This window comes from Homo sapiens, chromosome 8, assembly GCF_000001405.40.
Source record: "Homo sapiens chromosome 8, GRCh38.p14 Primary Assembly".
Taxonomy (NCBI): domain Eukaryota; kingdom Metazoa; phylum Chordata; class Mammalia; order Primates; family Hominidae; genus Homo; species Homo sapiens.
The window spans coordinates 78,663,166-78,680,869 of record NC_000008.11 but is presented as its reverse complement, the minus strand read 5'-3'; the positions used below and the strand labels follow the sequence as shown (position 1 = coordinate 78,680,869).

At 35.3% G+C, this 17,704-nt stretch overlaps 2 protein-coding genes and 1 long non-coding RNA gene across 6 annotated transcripts in view, besides 5 other annotated features; 2 read left to right on the top strand and 1 right to left on the bottom strand.

Moving 5' to 3' along the window:
* IL7 (interleukin 7) overlaps positions 1-5,826 on the top strand; it is a 130,420-nt gene extending 124,594 nt beyond the window's left edge. The window contains exon 6 of the mRNA XM_011517523.4: positions 4,766-5,826. Coding sequence (XP_011515825.1) covers positions 4,766-4,780 — 15 coding nt within the window. The 3' untranslated portion in view covers positions 4,781-5,826. The remainder of the gene's footprint in view (positions 1-4,765) is intronic.
* The window catches only part of ZC2HC1A (zinc finger C2HC-type containing 1A), a 53,677-nt gene extending 38,896 nt beyond the window's left edge, over positions 1-14,781 (bottom strand). For all 4 annotated transcript variants that reach the window (NR_156423.2, NM_001362969.2, NM_016010.3 and 1 more), the window contains exons 1-3: positions 14,706-14,781; positions 5,007-5,083; positions 2,191-2,307 (exon numbers count right to left, since the gene is read on the bottom strand). Coding sequence is in view for 3 of the 4 variants with exons in the window: in NM_001362969.2 (NP_001349898.1) it covers positions 2,191-2,307; positions 5,007-5,083; positions 14,706-14,721 (210 nt within the window). In the remaining variant the exon portion in view is untranslated. The remainder of the gene's footprint in view (positions 1-2,190; positions 2,308-5,006; positions 5,084-14,705) is intronic.
* Positions 14,628-14,677: an enhancer, noted in NCBI's record as "active region_27546". NCBI's record gives its function as "activates an Ori minimal core promoter by ATAC-STARR-seq in GM12878 lymphoblastoid cells {active_cell/tissue: GM12878}" and the evidence as "EXISTENCE:reporter gene assay evidence [ECO:0000049][PMID:35858748]".
* Positions 14,628-15,149: a biological region, named in NCBI's record as "H3K27ac hESC enhancer GRCh37_chr8:79577956-79578463".
* Positions 14,642-15,149: an enhancer, noted in NCBI's record as "H3K27ac hESC enhancer chr8:79577956-79578463 (GRCh37/hg19 assembly coordinates)". NCBI's record gives its function as "activates a minimal SCP1, AML or CMV promoter by ChIP-STARR-seq in naive H9 embryonic stem cells {active_cell/tissue: H9 hESC(naive)}" and the evidence as "EXISTENCE:reporter gene assay evidence [ECO:0000049][PMID:30033119]".
* Positions 14,748-14,967: a silencer, noted in NCBI's record as "silent region_19309". NCBI's record gives its function as "represses an Ori minimal core promoter by ATAC-STARR-seq in GM12878 lymphoblastoid cells {active_cell/tissue: GM12878}" and the evidence as "EXISTENCE:reporter gene assay evidence [ECO:0000049][PMID:35858748]".
* The window catches only part of LOC105375911 (uncharacterized), a 268,808-nt gene continuing 265,994 nt past the window's right edge, over positions 14,891-17,704 (top strand). Inside the window, exon 1 of the long non-coding RNA XR_007060972.1 lies at positions 14,891-15,865. This is a non-coding gene — a long non-coding RNA (uncharacterized LOC105375911). The remainder of the gene's footprint in view (positions 15,866-17,704) is intronic.
* Positions 15,150-15,658: an enhancer, noted in NCBI's record as "H3K27ac hESC enhancer chr8:79577447-79577955 (GRCh37/hg19 assembly coordinates)". NCBI's record gives its function as "activates a minimal SCP1, AML or CMV promoter by ChIP-STARR-seq in naive H9 embryonic stem cells {active_cell/tissue: H9 hESC(naive)}" and the evidence as "EXISTENCE:reporter gene assay evidence [ECO:0000049][PMID:30033119]".

Below are 17,704 nucleotides of genomic sequence, written 5' to 3'. Positions count from 1 at the left end.
CTATACTAAACAAGAGATAAAGATACTATCTGATAAGATCTCTCACCTTTAAGGAATCACTTTTAAGATGAGGAAACCCCTCAACTTTAAGGTAGCAGATTTCCAGAATCCAGCCACAGGCCCCCAAGCAATTTCCTATACCTCCTCTTACGGGTAATTTCTCCTGGATTTCAACTGCTTTGGGGCAATCCTTACATATATTTGATAATCTATGAATTATGCCTACCTTTTGTTTTTCCAAAAATGAAGTTTGTAGTTGCTTTGCCCCACTCTGCTTATGATTTTGTAGGATTTTCTTGATACAGGTAAATATATTAAGAACTACACTTACAACATTCAAATCTTCTAAGACACTGCTTCTCAAACTTTAATGTGCATACGACTCACCCAAGGATGTTCTTAAAATAATTCTAATTCAGTATGTTTGGGAGGAGGCTGAGATTCTGTATGTCTAACAAGTTTCCAAATACTGCCACTATTACTGCTCTGTGGGCCACAGTTTTAGGTAACAAGGCAATAAACCACTTAATACAAAGCAATGGTTTTTACTTTGCTTTTTTTTTTTTTTTTTTTTTTTTTTTTTGAGACGGAGTCTCGCTCTGTCGCCCAGGCCGGACTGCGGACTGTACTTTGCTTTTTTCTAGAATTCAATTTTTAAGTTTACAACCCCAATTCCTTATAAAAGAAACAGGATGACTAATATTCATTGAAATCACCATGGATAATCTTATGTAATCCCTACAATAACCACACAAGATAAATACTACTACTATCACCATGTTACAGTGAACAGAAGCATAATTACATTAAATAACTTGCCCAGAATAATACGGTATGTAGCAAAGTGAAAGTTAAATTCAGACAGTCTGACTCTTGAGCCAATTTTAACACCCACTATATTACACTGCTTCCAAAGATTTGGCAATTTTATCTACCGAAGCAAATTAAAGCTAATATAGGCAGCAGGTAACTAAGAAAAACGTCATATATTGATTTATACAGCTTATTCAAACCCCACCATCCTTACTTTAAATGTTCACAGTAAAAAACAAAAATGAACATCTAATTTTTCTATCATCAAATGATTTTTTATTAGTAAGATTAATTTCCCCCTAGAAAAATGTTCTTATACCACTGGAAGAAGTTATTACCATTAACAGTAGGATTCTGTTTAAAAAACCTATTCAATCAGGTACTTAGCTTAAATCACTTCACTGAAATGATGCTTTTCAACTATGCTGAATAAGTTCTTAAGTAATTTATTCTTAGCAATACACAGTTGGCCCTTACTACCCATGGGTTCCATATTCATGGCTTGTGCATCCATGGATTCAGTCAACCATGAATCAGAAACTTTCAGGAAAAAAATAAATAACCATATAACAATAAAAAGTAACATAAATTAAAGACACAATTCAACAACTATTTACATAGCATTAAATTATAAGTAATCTAGACATAAAGCACATGGGAGGATGTGCATAAGTTATATGCAAATACTATGCCATAAGGAGTTTGAGTATCCACAGATATTGATATCAGAGGCGAGTCCCTGGAACCAATCTCCCACAGATACCAAGGGATTACTATAATATATAACAGATATTAAGGAGAGATTATCACAATAGATTCATTGCTTTGGTTTCAAGAAAGAAAATAAGCTGACAATAACTATATCTGGACACTGAACAACAGATAAAACTTTTCCTTAGAAACATAATATAGATTACAAATCCTGGCAGTCAATATGTCAAAATAAGCAGTATCTATTATGCTAAAATGTCTGTAAATAATGGCTTAACTTTTTGGATGTAGAGATTATCATAATGGTAGAAGATGAAATGAATCAAAACTTAAGTTATATCAAAAGTTTTTAATAATGACTTGAAAAGAATGTGGGACAGCAATTGGCTCTCCAATGCTATAAAAATCTCACTGTAATTGATGGAGTTTGAAACAGCACCTTGGTCTCTTCTTTGAAGTTTAGAAGCTTATTTTTTAAAATAAAATTTGTTTTATAAGCTTCAGATAATTTCTAAACTGAACATATAACACAGAATTGTATTTATTCTTTAATCTTAATGTAGCAGATAATTGTGTTTATTCTTAACCTTACTGTAACAGATAATATAATATTTTTCAACATACATAACACCAAAGTTCATACTGTTCAAAAGGTTATATAGTTACCCTCGGTTTGAGAGGTTTTACTGTTGGAATATCAGTTCCTTCAGCTCTCTGTCTGCTTGAATCAAAAGTCTTCCGTTTTTTAGTTGCAGTCTTCTGGCAAATGGGTCCATGTTTTTTCTGTTAAGATAAAGAAATGCAGCCTATCATTTTCTTTTCTACAGAAGGTAAGACTACAGAACTTTATTTACATTGAGACCAGTTTAAAAATCTGAGACCAAATGAAAAACCTGAATACAAAATAATAAATAAATAAGATACACCTTGCCTTAACCAAATGTTAAGTTGTAAAACGTATATATAATGCACGCTCTAAGTTATCTTTCTCACTAAAAAAAATTATAAACACTCTTCTAACATGTCATTAAGTTATTTAATACTCTTCTCCTAGTTTGTACATTACTAATGTCAGAAGTGTGTGAAAGAGAACAACTCCATCTTAAACAGGAGCTGAGTAAAATGAGGCTGAAACCTACTGGACTGCATTCCCAGATAGTTAAGGCATTCTAAGTCACAGAATAAGATAGGAGATCAGCACAAAATACAGATCATAAAGACCTTTCTAATAAAAACAGGTTGCACTAGAGAAGCCAGGCAAAACCCACCAAAACAAAAATGGTGACGAGAGTGACCTCTGGTCATTCTCACTGCTACACTCCCACCAGCGCCATGACAGTTTGCAAATGCCATGGCAACATCAGGAAGTTACCCTATATGGTTTAAAAAGAGGAAGCATGAATAATCCACCCCTTGTTTAGCATATCATCAAGAAATAACCATAAAAGTGGGCAACCAGCAGCCTTCAGGGCTGCTCTGTCTATGGAGTACCCGTTCTTTCATTCCTTTACTTTCTTAATCAACTTGCTTTTACTTTGCACTGCGAACTCGCCCTAAATTGTTTCCTGTGCAAAATCCAAAAACTCTCTCTTAGTGTCTGGATTGGGACCCTTTTTCTGTAAAATATTTATCTGCCCTGTAACACTAAGAATAAGAAAAAGTAACAAAGTCAAAGTTACTACACTGCAAAAAAAAAAGTCTCCACTAAATGCCTGAACATAGATACTAGAAAAAGAAAATACAAAGAATACATTAGTTTTAGGATTACAAAAGTTAATGTAAGAGTAGTAGTTTGGATTACTAAAGTTAACATAATAGTAATATGCTAATATAAAGTTAACACAAAATAATAGGACAGGTGGTCTGATTTGTGTCCTTCTCCCATACTAATTCTTTTCCTCCCTTCTGGAACTCAAACTTTGCAGTTTTCTTCGCCTAAGATTTTTCTTGAGCTTATCTAGTGTTCTACTACTATTCAGATTTTTTTTTTTAAAGAGTTGTCCATTCATTCATTTATTCAGTTATTCAGTTTAGGGACATTAGAATGGAAGCTGTCTTAAATGACCTCCAATAAGCCAACTGGATAAACATTCTCCCTCCACTATATTAAGCATGATGATTGATGACATCGGTAAACTAAATACTCTTTTTTCTTTTGTATTTTGACAAACACTAAAGAAGGTAGAACTGTCAAACTTTGGGAAAAAATAAAACCTCAAAACTGGATTATTTCGTGTCTTGCAGCCTCTTAGGCTTTCAGTACACAATTAGCAATCAAGTGTTTTACATACTTATTTTCAGTTTTCATTTCAACAACCAAGCACTGTAATTACAGCTCTTAAGTATTTTTAAAAAATGAGGATAGCAGATGACTATCTAGTGGACCCATGTACATATGTTCCTTATTAAGTTATATATGTCAAGTGTATGTGGTGCTTGTTTCCCAACATAATTCAAGTTTCAGGTGTTATAATAACATCATTAAGTTAAATACCACATAAATGAGAGCCAAAAAAGGCACTTTTTTTTTGCTGTGAAATTCAGCTGAACACTCTGAAAAATAATAAATTGATAAGAAAAAAATCATTGAATGTGTGGGCAAGATGTTTTTAAAAGATTACAAAAAAGCCATCATTATTTAAAAGGTGCCTACAGTCAGAAGGACACTTTGGATCATTAATTCCTCACTTTGCTTTAAAGAAACAAACTAGAAATAGTAAGAGGATGCACAGTGGATCATGGCAGAACTTTAATCAGCAGATATACATTCACAGAAAAATTCTGTCTTACATTAAAGTATTAATAAATGTGTATTTGTGTTTGAAGTTAAAATACGTAAGGTACATAGGCATAATTTTTATTATTCCCTATTTAGTTAGCTAACTTTATTAAGATTAGTTAAAAGCGTTTTTATTTGTACTTACTAAGTAGCTAACATATCTTAAGAATGCATAATAAATTTTAGGTGTACTTTTACATTGAAAAAGTCTTTGTCTTTGAAACATCTCAAACATAAATAAGAGCTGACAGAAAAGGATAATTAACTACCATTTACTACTCATCACCCAGCTTCAACAACTCCCAACATTTTAGCTATTTTGTTTCATCTATCCCTGATTTTTTCCTGAAGTACTATAAAGCAAATTACAGACATTATATTATTTTGTATCTGTAAATAATTACTTATTTCTAAGGTATCTGATTTTGTTTTTTTTTTTTTATTTTGTTTGTTTTTGGTAAGAGTCTCGTAAAATGAGGAATACCTTTAAACTTTAACAGAAGAGTTCTGAAGACCAAACTCTGAAGGAAAGAAAGCATTCTGGAAGAATGGCATAGCTGAAATCAAGACCCTTGAACAAAGAATAGTACCCATTAACTCTTCAAAAACTATTCCACGTAAATTCTTCCCATGAGAATTGACCAGAATTATTGAACAATTACAGATCTGTAAAACCATAAAGGTACAAAATCAGTCTACTCACTAATGCTACTGGAAAGAATGTTCTTCCACAAATCTTGCAAGGTAACAATTCTCCAACTTGGACAACACCTCCATTCTCTAAAACAGGAAGGAATTTAATAAATAATTTATATAACTTGAAATTGTGAAACTTCACATTTTAATGTTTTCTCTTAGTTTTATAGGTAAATTATCAGTTTTTGTGAAAAATGTTTTACTGCATTTTGAAATAAGCAAAATTATCTATGAAAAGGAGCATAATACTTAGTTATCAGTGGTGAAAAAGGTCAGGATAAATATGGAGGAGTCATGATTTAAAGATATCCAAACTGATACTGCTGGAAATATCTAGTTTTCTTGTAATTATTTTAAGCAAATCAATTTGTCATATTCTCTTAACTTATAGGCTATCTCTATGGTAAATTACTACATTTTAAGAACAAAATTTATCTTATTAATTTCCAAGGCATGAAGAAATACCATTAGTGATGAGTTCAGTGACTTCCTGAGATGATTTGAAGAATCTAGAATAAAACGAATCTTACTCTGTTTACCACCAAACAATAGAAAGTACAATGCTATAAGATTAAGATCACCTAGTTATGCAAATTACATGTATTATGTGAATTATTATTTTATACATATAATACTTATATTAAGAGTCAGTGGACTAGTAAATGGAGATATTCTGACCTTACAAACAAAATTAAATAAAGAGGTAGCTACAACTTTCACTCAATTATTAATAAAATTAATATAACTATCATGTAACTGAATACAACAAATGTTATTACTAAAAAGAAAAAAAAAGAAACTACAAAAAAAGAAACTGCATTCTTTGTGATTCTGCATAATTCATTTTGTCATTTTATTTTATTTCCAAATATCAAACATAAACTTGTTTTCATAGCTATAATTTCCTAAAAATGATACTTAAACATGTAACATGTTCCCCATAGTTTCTGCTGAATATTTTAGAGATGCTAAAATTCTTTTATCATATGAAAGACAAATAGAAAAACATTTTTCTTTAGAAGTAACAAACTAATTTTAAAAAGTACAATTATATAACTCCATATAACCTGATCCAAGACATTTAGTGAGTTCACAGAGAACTAAACAGGCAAACCAAAATAGATATTGGTAAGAATGCATTCAAATACAGTAACAGAAGAACTGTTTTGTTTTCTCATTTCTTACTCCACTGCCCTACTTGACTGGTGGATAGTGATTACTTTTCATCTCAGATGGAGGCAATGTTGTGTAGTAGCAGTTAAGCAGTCAACACTACAAAAGCAAAGCTAAGATTTGCCTGACTTGTCCTTCTCCAACACCAGGAGCTAAGTTATTTAGGGAGGGCAATCTCATTTATCTGGATCACTTAAGTCCACTAACAATCCAGAGTTACTAAATGGAAACCATTAGGTTCATTTAGATAAGACAGTCTTCAAAATGATGGTCTCAGTAACATCACACGCTAACTAATCTATTAAGCTTGCTTATAGTTTTAACGTATTCCTTTAAATACTAAGCAATGATTTTAAAATTCATCAATACAAAATATTAAAAAGCACCACATATTATACTTGCTTAAAAGTGTATTTGCTTATCTACTTCTTAGATGACAAAGCAAAATCTTATAAAAATTAACTATTGACAAAAATGGATTCAGCACATAGAAAAACCACGTACCAAGCATGTACTAAGTAATATTAACACAAGGACAGAATAACACAATTATTGCTCTCATAAAGCTAACATAATCTATATTATTTACTTATTAAATAGATCTAAGAACCAAATCAACTCCTATTTTTCATACAAAAAATTAAAACATAAAGCAACCAAATATTACCATATAATAATATCCAGTTCTTGACATTAATTTCCACAAGTTATCAAACATGTTTAAAATGTTTTTTTAAAAAACGAAAATTATTATCACTATAAGGCATAAACAGATACAATACCATTTTAAAATAATGCTATTTGGGGATAATTTAAAAGCAATTATCCCCCAAAGAAATATTGTTTAGAGAAGAATGTCATTACTTCACCCAAAATAAAGATATATATAAAACACATATATAAATTTATAATGTCCTCTAATATTAGCTGGTCATAGAGCATAGCACTATAATTGACAAAATATGGCATGTGCATGTGTGTTGATGTCAAGACCTACGGAGGGAACTTCTACCCGGTAGCAAGGTAACAATTCTCCAATTTGGACAACGCTTTCATTCTCTAAAACAGAATACCATCTCACGCCAGTTAGAATGGCGATCATTAAAAAGTCAGGAAACAACAGATGTTGGAGAGGATGTGGAGAAATAGGAACACTTTTACACTGTTGGTAGGAGTGTAAATTAATTCAACCATTGTGGAAGTCAGTGTGGTGATTCTTCAAGGATCTAGAACCAGAAATACCATTTGACCCAGCAATCCCATTACCGGGTATGTACCCAAAGTATTATAAATCATTCTACTATAAAGACACATGCACACGTATGCTTACTGCAGCACTATTTACAATAGCAAAGACTTAGAACCAACCCAAATGCCCATCAATGATAGACTGGATAAACAAAATGTGGCACATGTCTACCATGGAATACTATGCAGCCATAAAAAAGAATGAGTTCATGTCCTTTGCAGGGACATGGATGAAGCTGGAAACCATCTTTCTCAGCAAACTAACACAGGAACAGAAAATCAAACACCGCATGTTCTTATTCATAAGTGGGAGCTGAACAATGAGAACACATGGACACAGGGAGGGGAACATCACACTCCAGGGCCTGTCAGGGGGTGGGAGGCAAAAGGAGGGAGAGCATTAAGACAAATACCTAATGCATGTGGGGCTTAAAACCTAGATGACAGGTTGATGGGTGCAGCAAACCACCATGGCACATGTATACCTGTATAACAAGCCTGCACGTTCTGCACATGTAGCCCAGAACTTAAAGTAAAATTAAAAAAAAAATTAAAAATAATTTATGTAGTTTAAATTGTGAAACTTCACATTATAATGTTTTCTTTAGTTTCATTGGTAAGTTGTCAGTTGCTGTAAAACAAATTTCTTACTGTAATTTGAAGTAAGAAAAATTATCAATTAAAATGGGCTTAAGAGTTACCAGTGGGCAAAAAGACCAGAATAAACACAGAAAAGTCATAATTTAAGGATAACCAAGCTGATTAGTTGGAAATATGTAGTTTTCTTGTAATTATTTTAACCAAATCAATTTGTCATGTTCTTTTATCTTAAAGGTTATCTCTACGGTAAATTACTAAACCTTAAAAACAAAATTTATCTTATTAATCTCCAAGGCATGAAGAAATACTGCTGGTGATCAGTTAAGTGACATACTGAGTTGATCTGCAGAGTGTAGGGTAAAAAAAATCGTTTTCTCTTTATCACCAGATAATAGAAAGCATACTGCTATAAGGTTAAGATCACCTAGTTATGCAAACCGCATGTATTATTTGAATTGTTATTTTATACATATGATACTTATATTAAGATTAATTGGACCAAGGGGTTAAAATATTCTGACCTCACACACACAACTAATTAAATAATAAAGTGGCTGTACCTTTCTCTCAATTAAAATAATCATCATGTGCCTGGATATAAATTTTATTACTAAAATAATTTTTAAAAAAATATTAATAGAATCTTCTACCCAGATCATGATAAATACCTTAGGCCTCAGAGTCAAAAGCCACATTTTGCTCTAATTAAATTCATTAAAAGACATGACAGTATAGTTGAAAAAGCACTGGAATTTGTCTTACATTATCTAACTTCAAGTCCCCAGCTCTGTCACTGAGAACTATGAGTCCTCAGGCAAGATACTTAAGCTCTCTAAGGTTTAGATTTCCTTACATAAAATAAGGAAGTTAAGTTAAATGACATACGGTCCCTTTTTATCTGTAACGTACGGTAATTTAACAAAATCTACCTTAAGACTACATTAGCAAGAAAAGTACATGGAAGACATCTTTCTTACTGACTTTTTAAATAAAGTTTATATATAAGAATGATTAAACCAACTGCAGATGGTAGAACGAATGCTTCAGGTAGTGTACACCACATTAAGGAAATAACTTCCACTTATCTACACAGAGAACTGAGAACCTGAAAGGACCTACAGCAAAGAACTCCTTGTTAGAGAAGCCTTTAAGACATGAATTAGAAAGAAATATATGATAATCATATAGGCAGACTCAGTTTAACAACAGTTAAATGAGGCTAATATCTGCTCAATTTACTTTAAAATTTCAGAGGATCAATTATTACATATAAAAATGTTTCATAACCTACAGAAATAAAAAATATTACTTTCCAAGGCATGCAGGCAATCTCCACTAACCTTTCCTAAGTGGCAAAAACTAGCAAATTTTGCAGCTTATAAAAATACAAGAGAAAGATGATATTCAGAGGGGTGATTATTGGTGAATATTATATCAGAGAGCAAATACTGTTGAAATAAGCACTCAAGGTGATGGATACAACCAAGTCAATAAAGTACTTTAATATTCTAGAACTTTTAAGAAGCCAATCTCTCCTTACAAAATCTATCTGGCACACACTGTTGATTCTGTTATGAGTTGCTTATGTTTTGCAACTTCAAAACCTGCATGATGGTAAGACTTGAAATGGTATCTTTATCTAACACTATAAGTGATGAGAAATAAAGATTTTATTTCAAATAGTTGTGACATTTTAAAATGCATACATTTAAGAACTATGAGAGAACATTTTCAAAGAAATCTTGGAAATTAAGAACAGTTCTGGCCTCCCTTGTGGCATGTCCATCTCCTCACTGCTGGTAAGTCTTATATTCTATCACCGTTCATTTGACTCCTTTAACACTCAACAAATCTTTCTTCTGAAGCACTAAATATGTTATATCACTTTCTTCCCAATATCCTTTCCAAAATCGAATTACTTTCAGATCAATATTATCCAGTGTCTCAGAAGATTTACCCTTTTCAGCTCATCCTAGAAGAGTTTTTGTCTTAACCTAGTCAATGCCTACCCGACTCAACACACAACCTTCATCCTTCACAGCATTTTAGTCACCTACACTCTAGTTCAGCAAAACTACTGCCAAAACAACCAACTCTGGACTTTAAAACACTCAAGTTTCCTCTTTAACCATAGAATTCTACCTCCTACCTTTCTCTAAGTTACTATCTTGATCTCAGAGTGACTTGCTTTTCTTAATAAGTTCATTCCTGGCTGCATGTCCTTTCCTACCCAGTCTGAACATGACCCATCATTTATACTAGGAATTATCCACGAATCCCTTGCTACATGGCCAAATGTTTGGAAAATGGTACATTAACCTAAGTTAAATGGGTTCTCTTAGAGCAGAACTCCCTTAGTCTTAAAAAAAGAAGCTTAGTATGTTGTTATTTGCCCAAATTTATTTTATCAGAAATCCTTTGTACTCCCAAAACCAATGTTCTCCACCAATGTCCTGATGAGCACATTTTTTGAAACACTAACTTACATTTTCTGCTTAGTCCTTCTCTGCCTCTCATTCACTCACTGTCTGAACTGCAGGGAGACATTATCAGGCCAAGCACTATATTGAAATACATCCATTCCGCCGAGTGCGTTGGCTCACACCTGTAATCCCAGCACTTTGGGACGTCGAGGCAGGCAGACCACCTGAGGTCAGGAGTTCGAGATCAGCCTGACCAACATGCAGAAACCCCATCTCTACTAAAAATACAAAATTAACTAGGCTTGGTGGCACATGCCTGTAATCCCAGCTACTCCGGAGGCTGAGGGAGGAGAATCGCTTGAACCCAGAAGGCGGAGGTTGTGGTGAGCCCAGATCATGCCACTGCACTCCAGCCTGGGCAACAAAAGCGAAACTCCGTATCAAAAAAAAAAAAAGAAAGAAAGAAAGAAAGAAAGAAATACATTCATTCCTTGATTCAATAAGTATTTGTTGAGCACCTAGCATGAGGCAGAAACTGTTCTAGGAGGTAGGAGTATAAGGATGATAAAAAACAAATACTCTGATCTTATAGAGCTTTCACTGATCTAACAGGGAAAAAATGAATAAAAACTAATATATAAAATGTTACATGGTGATAACCACAATGAAGGTAGAACAAAGTAAGGGGAGAAGAGATGGTCATAATGCTGTCTTGGAGAAGTATGGATAATCAGGGAAAGTTTGTTTAATAAGGACACAATAATGACATTAAAAAGGAAGGTAACGGATTACTATTTACTAATTGTCAAATCTGAAGCTCTCTTTTGAATCCCCATCCTACTGGGCCTTTCTACAGTCTGAGCCACTGCTGACAAATCTCTTTCACCTTTAAAGTCCTTTCTCTCTTGGCTTCAATGTTTCCTTCGCTCCTCCCAAGCATGCTATGTTTTACCTATACTGGACCTGCTAACATGCTTTTTGTGATTTTCGCCATCTAACAAACACACACTGAGAGGGCCTCCTATGCACTAGGTACTTAGCTAAATGTTTTACATATATTACATTATTTAATACTTAATATAATTTAGGTAGTTACATATTTAATAGCTCCATTTTTTTCATAGCAGGGAAAATAAGGGTTCAGATTAAGTAAACTGCCCAAATCATAGAGCTAAAAAGAAACAAAGCAAGGATTCAAACACAGTCCTCTCCAATATACTGTCTATTAAAATATCTGGCATCCAACTCACTACCAAAAAGCAGTAAATGCTAGATAAATTAATAAAGATAAAGAATTATACAGTAAACTAGTATACATTTATACTACGAAAAAATAAAACAAAACAGAAATTTTGATGAGACACGACTATCTTTAAACCAAGGGCTACACTGAAGAGCAATCAGTCTTCTAATCAAGTTTTAGAGGGCAGTACTAAGATCTAATAATTTCAACAATCCACAAGAGGAACGGACAGTCTGATCTCTGCCACAATTTTTATAACCATTTATCAGGGATATGAAGGGAATGACAATACTGTATATAAGGATAAAATCTGCTTAGATTTTACCATCTCTCCATTTTACAAATAAAAAAAGCTTATAAGAGATTGGAACTCTCTCAAGTCTAGAACTACTTCTATTATCCTTAGATAGATTTTGTGGGGCACAAATTTTATTAGATGAAAAGGAATTAAAAGGTTTTGCTATAACTATCTACAGAATGTAGAAGTGCTCAGATATTGATTCTACAAAAACAGATAACTTATATTTCATTTCAAAGTATAGTGTTTGAGCCTAATACCTCATCTATTGACTATTCAAGAAGCATAAAGACCCTGAAGACCAAAAGTAAAACAAATGGTATATGATTACATGCAAATAACGTAAGTTATAAGAAAGAGTAAGATTATCTTTAATAGAAATTTTCAAGAGTCCATATATTTTCTTGTTTTATAGCCAAGATTAATGTCTGGTAACTGGTTTCAACTAGAAACATATGTCTAATGCCAGAGTACAATATTTACGCAATTACTCTGACACATTAAGCAAACTTTTGAATATTTCTTACTGGATACTGCAATATAATATTTATTAAACACCTTCAAAGTACTAGACTTTAACTTCCAATAGAGGTAAGAAACTACCTAATCTATCACTGTATCAATGTTTCTAGAATGAAAGAATGGATGAATTAATGAACGGTAACCTTAAGACTCAGAGTTTGATATTTGCAAGGTGTGATCTCTTAGGGGAGGGAGAGGGGAGAAGGAGGAAGGAGAGAAAGGCACCATCCTAACTTCAACAGAAAATTCTCAAGAGCTTTTATTAGATTGAACTGCTTGAAATTACCAGAATTCAACTGTTTTGCCCTACATAATTTAGGGCAACTTCACATATTTCAACTCAGTTTATCACAATTAAACACATTATAGTTAATGATAGCATCTTATTTTGTAAAAAAAAAAAATCTAAAAGTAAAGGGCAAGCACTATTAACATCATAAGCTGGGCCCTATAACATCATAAGCTGGACCCATAAAATATGCCTATAAATACAGAATCCTACCTTTGTCCACCTATGCAACTGAGTGTCATAATAGGTTTCCATTATATTTTAAAAACATTCGTAGTAAGGTTTCAATAGTAATATCTTAGCACTGTTAAAATGTAAGGTCCACTAAAATGTAGGTTCGATGAGAGTAAAGCTTTATCATTTTTATTCTTTGCTGCAACCTAGAACCTAAAAAGATGCCCATAATAGACATTTATTTAACAACAAATATTTATTGAGTACCTACTTTGTGTCAGACATTGTTTTAGGTGCCTAGGATACATAAGTGAAAAATCAGATGATGATCTTTGTCTTAATAACAAATGTTGAATAAAATAATAAAAATCTGCAAACTGTTCAAAACACTTTATAGATAATATGTAATAAAACCTTATCATATTATATATGATAATCTCATGAGAATTCCATAACCCATGCTTTAATCCCACCAAGATACAAAAGTATCTTGAAAGTAAAATATACTGTACTATCATTACAATTCCTTATTTCATGGAAACTTGAATTATCTTCCAAAAACACATAAGCAAAAAACAAGACCTTCATTAGGCCATAGCATACTGCAGCTGTCCACAAACGGAAAATTATCAGAATCATTTATCAGAGCAAAAGCACGAAATAAACTTCTACTCATGTTATTACATCTGCTTTTTGGTGAATAGGTGACTGAAAAAGTTACCGGCTACCACTTTGCACTTCATCACACAATGTAGAATATTTTACTCCCTGGCATGCAACAATACACAAGACTCAAAAGCTTCTGCTCATTCTTAATTCCAACTGAATCCGTGTAAACTAGGAGACGGGGGAAAGGAGCTAAATCAAGACAATAGGATCTTTCAATTCTGAAGGTTTGTTCTTCATCATAACAAATTAAAAAATCTTGAAACTGTTGTTGCCAATGCTAGTTATTGTGGTTTTTGTCCTTCCTTTGTTTTTAGGTGAATGCTTTCATTACACAGGATAAAATGGGTAAACAGAATAGAGAAAAAGTGAAAGAACTGGGAACAAAGCAAAATCTGGAGTCATGGTTACAGTACAAAGATAAACCCAAAGATAAGGAACCAATACAGGCTCTTCCTCACACAGCGGCCGTGAATAAGTCATCAAATCCTCCGGGTAATCTATTGTACCGGCTCTAAAGCTGGCCAGTGACACTTCCTTAGGAGATGCTCTGACATCCCTCCGACAGAAGATGCTGTCGAAATGTAAAAAGCCGGTTACCTAGGGAAATCGGCCAAGGAATGTCAGGAGCTCGAGGCTGGAGACACACCCCGGGGCTGCAGCACAAAGTGGCCTGTTGGTGTTAAGGCCGTGGACAATAATGGAGAGAGTCCAGTACAAGGAAAACAAAATCTGGCCAGAGACTGGGATCACTAAAAGGGCACTCAGGAGTCAAGCAAGATCAGAAAATGGTAGGAAGAGACGTGCAGGCGTCTTGCCAGGGGCAGGATCTGGCTCCGGGCGGGAAAGCCCAGTTGAAGACCGTCTGAGGCGGGGCAGCCTGGTAGCGTTAGCTCCACCGCATCGGGGACTGTCCGGTTCCCTTCGGCCCCAGCCTCCGGAGGCGCGGCGGGACGCGGCGAGGTCCGCCGCACCGAACCAGCCCTCGCCTTCCTGCTACTGGTGTCCAGGGTCCCCAGCTGTTTCGGGCCCGCTCTAGCCGTCCTGCCCTCATCCCTTCATCGCCTCACCTTCCAGTCCCTCCATCGCGCCACCTCCTCGAGCTCAGCGAGACTCCTTCAGCAGCGCCCGCCACCGCCCAGCTCTGGCTGTAGCAACCCAGCCGCACCTCCCACCCGCTAACATTCCGAGCTCCCATTGGTTCCGCAACTGCGGGGGCGGGGATCCGTGGGGGCGGGGCCGCGGCGGAGGCGAGGTTCCTGCGGTCTCCTCCTGGCTGCCACCCCTGTCCGTCTCTCCGGGTTACTCTCCAGGGAGCCGGGAGCCGCTTCAGGTTGCAATCTGCGATGCAACGGCGCCTTTGTTTGACTCCAGCCTTGTTTTGCCTCATACCTTATCCTCCTATTTAGAGTACCTCAGCACCTCATGGGCTCCGCTTCACCAGTTCCTCAATCAGTCAATGCCTCTGACTTCTAGCCGCCATCCCTCCCAGTGGATACTTTAAGCAGGCAAGCAAACCAAACAAACGCCCAGCACGCTTGCATGCAGCAATCTCCGTTTTCCGGTCTTTGGTCGCATGACTTGACCTCAGCGTATCCCCTACACTTGATCTTCACACACAGCTTCATAGGTTAAGACACTTTTTTTCCAGAGAAATCATACTTTCTATCTGCGATTGTGGAACTGCGATTGCTCTAAGCCCTTGAAAACAGTTTCCTCACCATGAAAGCTTGGGCCAAAAATTAGAAGTGAAACCCAGCCCTCCCTCTGTCTTCTACTCTTGGCCTACCTTGGCCCTATACTTTATCATCCATAAACCAAAACAGTCGCCTGGCCTGACAATGTTTGATCGGGGAAGTTTGAGTTGGGGAATTAACCTACAACCTGACAGAATGAGGCCCGCCCGTCTCTAACAGAGTTCAAAACCTCCTGAAGATGAAAGTAACTTCAAAACTAACTCAGACCATTTTAACGGTTTTGCTTACAATTACCAGAACTACATTTCTTTGAAAATTTGATTTAGCAATCGTAAACAAGCTGTACTGTTTGCTGACTATAGCGTATCTACTGGCAAGTTACCAGTATTAATGTGTTGTCCATAACAAACCTCGGATTAATGTTATTGTTAATCTGTTTAATTGAAGAGTTTAACTTCATATCTAACTTCATCTACTATGAAATCAGTTACCTTCAGGAAGCAGGATTCCTCCTACTCTCCACTCACATGAAGGTATGTTTAAACAAGCAAACACTTGAGGGGGCATCATCTCTTACTGAGAAGGTGCTCCAAGTGCATTTGAATGTGGTAGAGTCCATCTGTTGTGTGGAGCCATGTAAAGACCACTTCAACCATGCCTCAATGACTCCCTCCGCCCTTCCCTGGTTCCCCTGGCTCTTCTGCTTCTCTGAGATCCTGGGCCTCCTTGGCCAACCCATAGCCTTGCAGGCAATAAGCTACTCTAGACTGGGTGCTGCGGAAAGGTCCTTTTTCTTCCTTAGTGCTACTAAGGCAAAGGTAGAATTTTTGGTTGGGAGGGAAGGCCTTTTAAAAGAGCATTAAGGAGAAAAAAAAGCACACAGAAGAAAATACAAAAATAAGGAAGCCATTATTTTACAAATTACAAGTTCTTTCACTGAAGGCAAGACGAATATTGAGTTGGCTGATACCTTATTCGACATAAAATCTACAGTAACATTAAAAATAATAAAAATAGCATTAAAGAATAAATCATGTGAGGCATGTTTTAGGCCATTTTCATATATTCACAAATCTTCAAAAGAAATCTACAAAGTAGATACTACAATCTTCATTTATCAGAATTAAAATGTTCATTTTCTAGATGTCTCAGAGCAATTAATATTTTGTCAATATTTGTATTATTAGTGGATGGTAGAGCTTGGCTACACTCTTGTCTGTTAAATTCTAAAGCCTATGGTGATTTGATTGGGCTCCTCACTCCCTTTCCTTGCCTTGCCTTTTATTATAGCTGCCTCAAGTGTAAACCCAAGCGTTCAGACATGTTGTTTAACATATATTTGAGTAGGCATTTCTATTGTGAATCTTAATTCTCTAAAACATGATTGCTAGTCTTCCCTACAGGTATCTTCATAACTTTTATGCTTTTGGTCTCTTCATAACTTTTACGCTACAGCTACCCTGGCTCCTGCAGCTTTTCCCTGATTCTGACCCCTGAGTAAAGAGGACTTCTTCCTATCTGCCTTCAATAAGTTCTTTCCTCTGCCGCCTACATACCTAGCCTGAGAGTCTTGTCTTGGCACTGTATCATGACATTACTTCCTCTCCAGTCTAATCCATTTTTCGGCATGCATTCATTCAACAAATGTTTGTTGAGTACCTTCTATGCTTCAAGTCCATTTTATCACTAGCCAGTTACTCAAATGAATGAAACTCAGCTTCTTCTCATGTTTTTAAGCACTTACCTGTACATAATTTTTCTACCTGCCATGTGATCTTGTTAACTGAAAATAACATTTATAGATCAATAAGAATTCGAGATCTTCTGACCTCCTTATCATACAAAAAGGAAAACAAACTTTCAGAGATGTTTCTGACTTGGTCAAGATCACAAAACTAGTACTTAACTGAAATAGATATTGTATCTGTGTTTTATTACATCATACCTTGATTCTTTCCACTTTGCATTATATTGCTTTCAACCACCATTCCCTTAAGCAGATCCACATCTATTCTGCACATCCCAAAAAGCTGAGCAAGCTGCATATAGCTTCTTGTTTCAAAGCTCCAGTCTCTTAAATCCCACACGAAGTTCAAGTCCCCTTTTAGAGAAAGCCATTGGTTCTCATTCATATCATTTGCAGAGCACAACTAAATGAGATTCTGAGTCTCGGTGAGAACTCAGTTTATCACCTCCACTATGTAGGACATTTCTTCCTTCCATGACCAGAAGAGGAATAACCTACCACAATTTAGCATATAAAAATAATTCATACATTTGGTAATCATAAGAAAATGATAATTTTCATCAAAAACATAAGAAAATATTTCCCTTAAAACTGTTCTAGAGGGAGGAAGCATATTCTGAGTTGG